Here is a 12,046-nt window from a genome sequence, read left to right as displayed (position 1 = left end):
CTGAAAAGCTAATTCAGGCCATGATGGGAAGGGAGAATTGGATATGCTTCATTATACTCTCCTCCCTTTGGAATTCAGGCACAACTGACCAGCATTACCATTAAAACAGAGGTCTTAAGACTGACAGAACAGACTGTAGCAAAAATATACCAAATTCCAAGCAGACTCTAGTATAGCGTTACACGAGAGCTTTACAGGCCCTGAAAGAAATTAAAATGTTTTATCCCAAAATATACTTTGACATATTTTGAAACGGCCCTGCAAAGCTGTCCTTTGCGGGAGAAACTTTCATTCCGTAAATCCCCTTCCCTTTCCAGATCTTTTTCTGATCTTGAAGAGACTAGCTGACAGTCTAGCACCTTTTAAAGATCTCAACAGGAAATATTTACAGTCTGTTGCCTCTAAGGTAGGCACCTATGAGACTTCATCTACATAATGAGAACCTTGGTCTCCACAACTCCTTATCTTAAACCAGACACTCCTTTCTATTGCTTCTAGGTGTATAGATAATTACTTAACTCTTTCAACCAATTGCTAATGAAAAAATCTGTGAATCCACCTATGACCTGGAAACCCCTGCTTTGAGTTGTCCTGGCTTTCTGGACCGAACCCGTGCACACCCTACAGGTATTGACTGATATCTGTCTGTCTCCCTAAAATGTATAAAATCAAGCTGTAACCCAACCACCTTGGATACTTGTTTTCAGAACCTCTTGAGACTGTACTTTGAGCCTCGGTCACTCAGATTTGGCTCAGAATAAACCTTTTTAAATATATCACAGAGTTTGACTCTTTATTGTTGACAAATGTATAGCATACATCAAGTGCCAGGCGAAAGCTTTAAGACTCTAAAAGATTTTCCTTATTGTCAACAGAATTGCATTAATTTAACTTTCTATGACATTAGGTAATTGATTTTTTCAAAGTAACTTTTCATTAAATAACTTTAAAACCTGTTTCCATGCTTCATTATTAGAGAACAAGTTTGATTTGTCAATAAGCAATCAGAGAAAAAAAGGGAAAAAATAAAATCCAATCATTTGTTATTTTCCATTAACTAATATTGATTATTAATTATTATTTATATTATTGTTAGTCAATTTATTTACTCATTTTTAACCATTTTCTGATTTTTCACCAGAGGCAAGTGTGGTTCTTTATTTTGGTCTTTCTTGAATTTGTTATAGAGAATTACTGATTGACTGGAAATTAACCCTTGTCAATTGAAGTATCATGATCTTTTTAAACTTATAGGGAAAGCTTTATTCCTAATACCAGGTTACAGCCTATAGGCTGTCCATCCTGCAGACTGGGAAGCTTAGCTTCTGGCAAAAACCAGAAGCAGACACTTGAAATAAGGAAGGATGAGACAGGAATTTATGCTGAATGGATTGGCTAAGTATATATATATGCTCACAGGATATGGGAGGAGCTGTGAATATGCATGAAATGGGGCACACATATGCATGCTAAGCAAACATGCATGTTACATATATCCCATGTTCACTTTGGAGTGGAGACTTAACATTTACATGCATTAAAATTAGGCTCTATATGTCAAAATGTGAAACAAAGGCCACACAGGCTTCCTATATTCAGACTCTTAAGTCAGACACAGCTGGTCCACAGTTGGTGGTCTCTCATCAGGAAGGAATGCTGGTTGAATGTGGTTGAAAACACAAAAAGGGAGGGGAATTCAGCAAATCTTTTGAGAGGGCTGGTTTTGGTTCAACTTTTAGGAATGAAAGTCTACTGACAGGGAGGGAGGGGATATAGTGAGGTATGTGTGACCTCCCATCCCATCACAGGTGAGAACTCAGTTTTCAAGGTTTCTCTGAGGTTCCCTGGGCCAACAGGGAATTTGTTAAGCGGGTTGAGGTGCTTAAGATTTTATTGTTATTTCTCACCTTTTATCAAATTGGAAATGCCAGCTCCCCCAGATTTGCAGGTTTGCCTTATGAATATTTCCTCAAATTATAGCTGGTTTATTACTTTATAAACTTACTAAGATTTATAAGTGTTAACTAGAACTAAGAACATAATGGTTCTTAAGTATAGAAATATGATGAGAAAATAAATATACTTTTCTTTAACATGGCATTGATCTTAATAGAATAACCTAAATTTTACTAAAGTAACTATTGGCTGATAAATAAAATTTGATTGTTATGCATCAATTGTAACAGATAATTTATTTCTAACAAGTTCTGATTTTGGACAAGCAGTTAGTATTTTAAATATATATTTTTTTAAATGCTGAAGCTATTCACAATTTTATTTAACATTTTAGCCAAAACATTCCTCATGTGCATGGGGTTGTAGGTGGCTTATGAACAAAATTTTGCCTCTCTCATATTTCTCTCAAAAGAACAATTTTGATGTGGAAGAGATAAACACTGTTGAAATGGAACCATATGACCAGAAGGCATTCGTGAGATCATATGGTTCAGCTCTTTAATGCTTTGCAATTTAGTGCCCAAACCATCCAAACAGATGGCCTTCTGTCTTATTTAACTGGCCCCCAAGGACAAGTAATTCAGAACGCCTCTTCGTATCGTATTCTCACTGTTATAATAAGAAAATTATTTATTCTTCCTTGGTATTGCTTTTGGTCGAATTAAAGCCCTTTACTGTTTATTAGATCATCTTCTATAGAGTTAAATAAAATTGCCATTTTTAATGAATTTTAAAACTCTACTTATGTCCTTTATTTTTCCTCTGATCTATTTTTCCAACATGATAAAGTAAAAGTAATAAAAATGAAGCAAAATGATGTGCTTGACAGTGCACTAAAGGTTTATATAGTTTAGTGCAGAGATAAACACCTACATTTGAATCCTGGACCATATCAATTCTGACTTATGTCCTTAAATAAGTTAAACTCTTTGATCTTTAATGTTTTCTTTTTAAAAACAGAGACAAACACTTCTGCCTTAGAGTGGTGTTGAGGAGCTCAAAGACTATAATGTTATCATCAAGAGAGTTGGTATATCATGGGGATTTGTTACATTAAAATTATTGCTATTATACCAATAGTGATAATACCAGCAATAACATTATTATTATTGGAAAATAATTTTAAAAGAAATTTTGACTATTGAAAGTCAAAATGTAAAATGTCAGAATAGCCTTGTTCCATATTTTCATAAGGTTATTACACCAGTAGATAGAATGGAATGGAAGAAAGTTGTCAATAGAATATATCTAGATTGTAGTAAGTCTTTGACCAGCATTCTTTGGTGTTTCATTGATAGGCTGGAGCAATACTGGATGAATGGTAAGAAACATAGAAGAAATCCTACCTAATCAAGTAAAAATATTGGCTCTGATTATTCGTCCAATGTAAAGGGAACTAAATAATACCTGACATAGGGACACACCCTGCTCAGTTATTTGAAGAAACAATATTAATTATACTCTGATTATATTCATGCATATTCTCTCAACTCTGCAGAAATGCTAATACCCTGAATTCTGTAAAACGGGAATATGATCCAAATATAGCTTATTCTAACATTGGGAGGATATATGGACTAGATCATAAAGAATAAGTAACGGTTTGCCAATATAAAATAATTAGAAAGCTATAAAGGAAAAATAAATTTTAAGTAAGTGGGATCAGCATATAGCATAATTTTCAAAGTGGCTATATATATTAAATCAATGAAAAAATTGTAATAATGGGACTAGAGCTGCACAGACTAGTCACATTGTCAAAGGCTTGTATCAAATGCTAAGTAGTTGAGTTATCCTATAACTAGCAGGGAACTGATGTAAATCATCAATGTATTAAAATGATTAAATTGTATGATTATTTTTCCAGGTTTTACTCTTATTTACATTTTTAGTGCTTCTCTTAAAAACTTTGAAATCTAAAAATGAAAAGCAATAGGAAATCATTAACTGCAATATTTCTTTATTGATTCTCATCTCATTTTTTGTATAATACCATCATATATTTGCATATGTACATATGTGTATATGTTTATAATTGCATGCCCTGCCTTGTTCTTATGTCATAAGCATTTTTGAAATTCAGTTTAGATTTTAGAATTTTAATTTTATTGCCCTGTAATATTTCCTCATTTGACTGATTATTTAATTAAGCATTTACCATAATTTTGTATATTTTAGTACAATTTTGTTCTTTTATATCTAATACTATAATGAAATATCTTTATGAATTTGTGTGCATTTCAGATTGTTAAATGAGGAGAGGGTCTCTCTAAGGGCAATAACTGGGTTAAAGACTATGTATATTTTCATTTTATCAATATATATTACGAGGTACCTTTCCAGAAGGTTTTATAGTGTCATGCCAGAGGGACAAGATAGGTGAGGGAAAAGCTGCATTTGATTAATGAAGGCACATAACCATCTGCTTATGCATTTCTGCCCTAGACATTTCTACTATTTCTTTAGGAAGAATTAAGAAAGGAGATAAAGACACACTCTTAAATTCTCGACTTTCTGATAACCATTTTTGAGCTATCTGAAAAAGAAAGAAAAAACAGAAACAATAATAATTTTGACAATGTTCTGCTACTTGTCCAGGCTTCCTGCCAAGGAGAGAGGGAGCTGCAACTTAGCCAAGCAGCAGTCCGCAGGAACTGAGCACAGTAGAACCTACAACTGCTTTTTGATAATCTTGGTCTTATCTGTTGGCCTCGAAAAGAAATAGCCATCATGATACAGAAATAAAGCCTAGTATCAGAATCATCGAGTGGTAGCATGTTTTAAGGTCTCTTTTACTTTAAAAAGCTGTTGGTTGTGTGCTTTAGAAACACCAAGGTTAGCTTTGTGCCTTATCTGCTGCCCTAGGACAGTAACAGTTATTATAATCGCCCAAAGGTTATACAATGACCTTTAAATGGGCTGAAAAATAAAAGACAAAAAAAAATCTTATAGGAAATAGTGTCCACGTTTTACACTTAGGCATTTATTTTTCATTGCAAAGAAATATGATCAAGCTAAGAAAAGTAAAGTTTTTCCATTAGTATTAAGCATGGCATGAAACTAGCATTTACAGTTGGACTACTTTTGAGTTAGTTAATTTTAAGACCCTCTGCTAGAAAACACCAACTTGGAAAAATTTGCTAGAGCCAGTCCTTCGAGGGAATGAGTGAATAGTAAACCCTGATCTGCTTTTAAACAGAACTAAATCTCAGTGTGACAACTTTCAGTTGTTGAGTTGCATTATTTATTGAATACACTACTGTAAACTTAGTTTGCTTACTGAAAGGTTGTACTTGGGAACCATTGATTTTATAAAGTTTGGTGTTTATAAAATTATGACACTATTTGGTATTTTAAAAATAGAATTATCTAAAAACGTTATGTTTACACTGTGTGTGTGTGTGCGGTGTGTGTGTGTGTTAAAATGTAAAACTTATCAGAGAGCTAAATGGCACCTTAAAATTATTTAATTATTTATTGTATAATATGTGGCTTAAAAATATTTTGTTTTCTGCTTATATACCTATTCTCTTGACCGGTGGGTAATGAATGATTGCATATTTTTATGTGAAAAGAAAAGAAAATGATGTGAATTATCTGCCATACACATATACATTTTGGGGATTGGGGTTCTGCAAATATTATTTAAATATAAAATGTATTAATTTGCTTAATTCCTCAATAAATAGTTTTTTGAAATGACTTTCTCCTTTGTTTCCACATGGCAAATTCCCTCTTATCATTCAAAATGTGGCTTTAATATAGCCTAATGATTGCTTTTATTCTCCAGGTATACTTAACAATTTTATCTTCTGGAAAAACAACACCCAATATATACAACCTAAATTTTTTTTAATGTATTTAGGCACATTTTCTCCATCAAACTTAAAACCTTTCTATGTCAGGGGCTATATATTTCTTTTCTTTTTTGTAGCCACATGCTGAGTATAATATTTGATGAATATTAGTTCCTCCATAAATACCCATTAAATTATTTTTTGAAGACTGTTAGTGTACCAGGGTTAAATAAAATAACCTTTGAAGTTTCTCAATTCCAATCTTTTTTTCCTCTTATTTGTAGAGAGCTTAATCTTGCAAGGCAATATTTATTTCAAAATTAATTTTGAATAATTTGTATTAGGGTCTGTAAGCAAATAAATCGGGTATGTCGGCTTTTTAAAATTTGGCCATTAGGGTATTAAAAAAATTTAGAATTTGAAATTTAATTCAAATTGGGGAAAATAATAGTACCTGTTTAATAAGCCTGTTGTGAGGACCACATGAGTTGTTATAAATAAAGTACTTAAAATAGTATTCACAAATGGCTATATTATCATTAAATTGTTTTATTGTTGTCATATGTTTTATCAGCCTTATTGGGTTATTAATATTAACCCAATATTAATCTTATTGGGTTATTTTAGTATTAACTTTATCTCTTATAAAAAGATTTATCATTGGAATAAGTTGAGATTCTATCTTTTAATAATAGCACTTTCTCTTCTTTAGTTTCACTATCTCTTATACCATCTCGGCCCTTTTTAATCTAATTCAGAACACACAATTGTTCTTATAATTGGATTCATATATATTCAATCTTAATTCATCTCCAACCCATTTTTCTTAATATCCCCCAACTTCAAATTATCTTCTAAAATGTAATTTTGAGTCTATGGTTTTATTGCTTAAAAATTATTCAGTGGTCCTGCATCATCTATTTATGAAATCTAAGTATCTTAGTAGTTTGTCTTCCTTTCTAACCTTTATCTCACTTCCTCATTCCTCATCATCTCCATAGATCCAGTATTCTAGGCATATAACTACATGTAATTCTGTGGATGTGTCATATCCTTTCAATTCCATAATTTGGCTTTATTCTTCCTTCTGCCTGGAACTCATTTCTTATGTCCCTTGACTAACAGAAGACTATCTTTCCTTTAAGACACACTTGATATGTCACCTCTTTCATAGTGCCTTTATTTTATTTCCAAGTAATTATTAATTATTAACTGTTTCTCTTATAATTGATTTGTAATTTTATCTCATTTTAGTTGGTGGTCTTTCATTTAAATTTAAATTTTTAATTATTTTAAATATGTTGAGGCTTACTATAAGATATAATTAATAATGATACATCCTGAAGAATGTTCCATGTGCACTTGAGAAGATTGTGTATTCGGCTAGTGTATGAAATATCTTCTACAGATTTTCATTAGGTCTATTTCGTAGTGTTATTGAAGTCTTTTTTTTTTATCATCTACTTTTTCATTTTATCTATTATTGAAAGTGAAGTATGACAGTACCTACATATTGTTAAATTTTCTATTTCTCTCTTTGTTTCTGTAAGTTTTTTTTTTCAAGTATTTTGAGACTCTGTCATTAGGTACATATGTGTTTACAGTTCTTATGTCTTCCTTAAAGAGTGACCATTTTATTATTACAAAATATTCTTCTTTTGTGCTAGTAAAATTTTGTAGGTTTAAGTCTATTTTGTCTGATAGTAGCTGTAGACACTTTAGTTTTCTTTTGGTAACAGTTTTCATGACATGTATCTTATCATCCTTTTATTTTCAACTGATTTGTGTCTTTGAATTTAGTGTTTCTTTTTTAGACAACATATAGGTAGATTAAGTGTTGATTTTTAAAAACTAATCTATTCTCCCAACCTCAGCATTTAAATTGGAATTCTTTATATAAATATATATATATATATTTATATTTAAAGACAAATTATAAAGTAACATTTATGCATGCCATTTTACTTTTTTTGTATGTCTTGTGTCTTTTTTTTGTTCCTATGTTTCTTTAATATTGCTCTTTTTTGTGATAAACATTTTTAGTATACCAGTTTGGTTCCTATGTTATTTATTCTATTTTTTAAAATCTTATTTTCTTAGTTATTGTGCTTGGGATTACAATTAACTGCTTAATTTAAAACAATCTAGTTCAGATTAATACAACTTAATTTCAATAGTTTACAGAAACATTGCTCCAATGTAGCTCCTTTCTTTAGCTTCCCTTTTGTATTAACATTGCTATAAAAATTACATCTTTATAATTTTAAACCCATTAATAAAATTCATGCAGTTATCTCTTAAGTCAGGTAGGAGTATAAAAGCGTTTTAAACAAAAATATATTTACATTATCTTGTATATTTCCCTATATTGTTTGTTTGTCTGTACTCTTTATTCCTCCATGTGGACTCAAGTTACTGTCTAGAGACTTTTCATTTCAACCTGAAGGACTCTCCAGTTAGTATTTCTCATAGGGCAGCTGTACTAGTGACGAATTCCTTTAGTTTTTCTCTTAATTAGTATGGTGAGTTACATTAATTAATTTTATGTGTTAAACCATTTATTTTATTATTTCTCCTATGTTTTAAAAAATAATTTTGTTAGGTAGAGAATTCTTATGTGATAGTCTTTTTCTTCAGTGCTTTGAATACGTTATTCCATTGCCTCTGGCTTCAGTGATTTCTGAAGAGAAGTCAACTTTTAATCTTATTGACAGTGACAAGTATGTGATAAGTTCCTTATCTTTCTGCTTTTAAGATTATCTTTGTCTACTGATAATTTGACTATGATGTTTCTACTTGTGGATCTCTTTCAGTTTATCCTTATAATTTATTAAGCTTCTTGGATATACAGATTGTCTTCTTACCAAATTTGGGAAACTTTTGACTATTATATCTTCAAATATTCTTTTGGACCCCTTTTTCTCTCCTCTTCAAGGAGTTTCATTTTATATGTGCTGATATACTTTATCCCACAGGTTTTGGGGGCTCGGTTCATTTTTCTTTATTCTTTATCTTTCTGCTCTTCGGAATGGATGATGTCAAATTGATACAGATCCGGTGACTGGAGGAACACCAGGGTCATTGGTCTCACGCCAATTTAGATAAATGACAGAGACACACGTGGAGTGGTTTTAAGGAGTGGAGAATTTAATAGTCAAGAAAGAAGAAAAAAAAGCTCCCCGCTACAGAGATAGAGGGAGCGGGGTTCCCAAGAGAGAAACCCTGTGTGCTGCTGCGAAAAAGTGGTCGGTAATATTGGGAAGCTGGAGAAAGCAGTGTCTGATTTGCATACGGCCCAGTGGATTGGTTTGACCAGGTGTGTATTTCACATAGCCCAGAAAAACCTGACCCTCCCACCCCAGGCTCTTAATATGCAAATGCAGGCCACCAGATGTCCTGCACCCGTGGAGATAGCTAGGGGTGGCCATGATGCCTGGCACACGTGCTGACAAGAAAAGGGTGAGAATCACCAAGCTGGCCATGTTGGTTAGACCTAGTTTCTAATCACCAGCATTAGCATGTTAATACTTGCCAGCCTGGCTTTCCAAACCGCCTTTCTGTTAGAAAAGAAATGTTTCGGGAGCTGTTTTTATTAAAAGAAAAAGTCTTATCAAGAACTTTTACCCTCTATATCTGCCTAGAATTATTTCTTAATAACTCCTGTATTATTCCCCCCTCAAGAGAAGTAAACCTAACTGTTGTTAGTGGGTGTTGGACGACAATTATTTCTGGCTACTTCCTGATGAAAAGGGGCGTCATGTCGGGGAACAGCAGTTGGGTCTTCTCCTGAGGTGGATTTAAGGGTACTTGGAAGAATGGCTTGTCCATGTGGGGCTCTGTTTGCAGCACCATTTTGAGTTTGATCGTTTCTAGGTGAAAAGAGATAAATTTTACAAGAAGGTTAAAAATATAGGGTTGGATTATGAGTATTAAAATTATCACTGTTAGTGGGGGTCCTATAGACTATAACTAACAGTGTAATTTGACTCTTGTTAGTTACACCCATGTATTGCAACACCAGTTTGCCTCCACTAGATGTTTATGTACATTACCAGAAACATTAATATAAAAGCAACATTTTCCTTGAGAAGAGCATACATTTCCCCCTTGACTTGCCATTGGAGAATAACTTTAGGCTTAGGCAATTTTTATAACTTGCAGTATGATTGGGAGAGATACATTATTCGGTGGCTAAATAACTTTGGCATTAATCTTGACAATTCCTTTCCTTTAATTATTAAATTTTTTCATGACTTTCACAGACCCTCTTACAACAGACTTAAACTTTCTGACTTGTCCTAAACATTCTTTCTCTAAACAACCGGTCATTTCCTTTTAGGACAAGAATTTACCAAACAAGATCCTTCCTTATATAAAATCTCTTTCTCTATAACCTTTTCATAGCTTAGAGTGCATCACATTAGCAACCTTCGGTAAAAAGTCCCGTCAAACTTAATGATAGTAAAAACTATTACTCCTGCTGTAAGCAAAACAACCTTGACGAAATCTTTCCTGTAACTACTTATCCTGCTCTAAGTATAATGAGGCAAAATATTACAGCAATTAGAATTTTACAACCAGAATTCCACATCGTGGGTGTCATAGTGTATAGTTCTATTGCAAATAGTAGCGTGACTATAACAATTCCCATGAGAGTGACGTAGTAAATAATTTCCATTTAAAACTTTACTTGCCAAGACAACATTTCTCTTTGGGAAGCTACAAAGTTACAAATGCAATCCCATGTATAATTAAATTCTCCCTGCAAATATGTGTTAAAAAGAAGTTCTAATATTTGGTGGCAAATTTTGAGAGGGAAGGGCAGAAATAATAAAAAGTCTGGTGAGGTAGCAGTGGGACTGAGTAAGATGAGCAGCCCTTCCCCAGTTACTTATCTTTCATGATTTTCAGCCTAAGGTCTTCTATTTCTCCACATTGAGATTCAGGACTTTCCTCTGGGCTTTCAGGGGTTGCTCCCTTAGCTTTTTAGGCTTTGACTTGAGTGTGGTGCATCCAGGAGATGATTCCTGTAACTGTCAAAAGAACAGTGTCGGGCCTTTCCCAGCCCGAGCGTAGGGAAGAAAGCAGAAGTGAGAGTTTTCACTAATACCAGATCTCCTGGGTTAAATAAACGTGGTTTCATTTCCTGGGGTTGGCCATTTGCTAGTTGTGCTAATGCCTTGAGGCTTCCTTGCTGCTGACTTAGCTGCCTGATTAGCTAATCTATTTCCTTTGGCTACCTCATCTGTTTCCTTTCGATGTCCCCTGCAATGCATCCCTGCTATTTCTTATAGAAGGAAAAAAAACTGAGGATAATAACCTGTTAATTTCTTGGTGATATTTCCTGGAGATCCATTGATGGTAAGAAAATGTCTTTTCTTCCAAATGGCAGCATGAGCATGGAGAATCAGGAAAGAGTACTTGGAGTCAGTAAAAATGTTAGCTACCTTTCCCTCGCTTATCTCAAGTGGTCTTGTTAGAGCTATTAGCTCAGCTAATTGAGCACTTGTGCCTGGAGAGAGACGTTATTTAGAGCAACTACTGCTTATCTTGCCTTGTGTACTTCTTGCTTTCCTGGCTATTTGTTAGCTTAGAGCTCCCCTAGAGGACAGTGATCCTGCCACATTATGTTGAGTGTAAACAGCTAAATTACGTCCTAGGGTTAATTTGGAGGGATTTTTTTTTTTTGACTAGTAGAGCTATCATGATAATGTCTGGGAAGTATGTGTCAACTAAGGTTGAGAAAAATATTGGATTAGAGTTTTTCTTGAGATGCCCCTTAAGGTCATGCTATGGGAAGGGGAGAGGCCTGGATTAGAGAGGAGAAAAGAGAGACTGGCTGTAGTGCTTAGAAGGAGGTCTACTTTTTTTCCTTCAATTTCCAGAATCACCTGGGGCTCCTGTGCTATAATGGCAGTTTGAGCTGCTGGACCCACGGTTTGAGCCCCGGGACCCATCAATCCTGCTGGACCATCTGTGAGACTCCACCCAGTGACCTCCACCTCCGAGGGCAGTTCTGTCTCCAGTGGTCTTCACCACAGGCTGGACAGGGTCGAGGTGGCTTCATCTTGCTGCCTGGGCATTCCTTCTTCTTCTTCTTTTATATATATATATATATTTTTTTTTTTTTTTATTATACTTTAAGTTCTAGGGTACATGTGCACAGCGTGCAGGTTTGTGTTCCAAGAAAGAAACTCTGTGTGGGGCAGAAAAGTGGTTGGTAATATTGAGAGGCTGGAGGAGAAGGTGTCTGATTTGCATATGGCCCAGGCGATTGGTATCACCAGGTGTGT

General features: G+C 34.0%; 1 protein-coding gene across 38 annotated transcripts in view, besides 1 other annotated feature; it reads left to right on the top strand.

Moving 5' to 3' along the window:
- The window catches only part of PTPRD (protein tyrosine phosphatase receptor type D), a 2,298,757-nt gene that overhangs the window by 603,002 nt on the left and 1,683,709 nt on the right, over window positions 1-12,046 (top strand). The window lies entirely within an intron of this gene.
- Window positions 10,016-11,215: an enhancer, noted in NCBI's record as "BRD4-independent group 4 enhancer chr9:9998786-9999985 (GRCh37/hg19 assembly coordinates)". NCBI's record gives its function as "activates an origin of replication core promoter dependent on BRD2, P300/CBP, MED14 and CDK7 cofactors, and independent of BRD4, by STARR-seq in HCT116 cells {active_cell/tissue: HCT116}" and the evidence as "EXISTENCE:reporter gene assay evidence [ECO:0000049][PMID:35650434]".

This window comes from Homo sapiens, chromosome 9 (assembly GCF_000001405.40).
Source record: "Homo sapiens chromosome 9, GRCh38.p14 Primary Assembly".
In the NCBI taxonomy this organism is placed as follows: domain Eukaryota; kingdom Metazoa; phylum Chordata; class Mammalia; order Primates; family Hominidae; genus Homo; species Homo sapiens.
The sequence above is the reverse complement of the archived record's forward strand: the minus strand, read 5'-3'. Positions and strand labels throughout refer to the sequence as shown.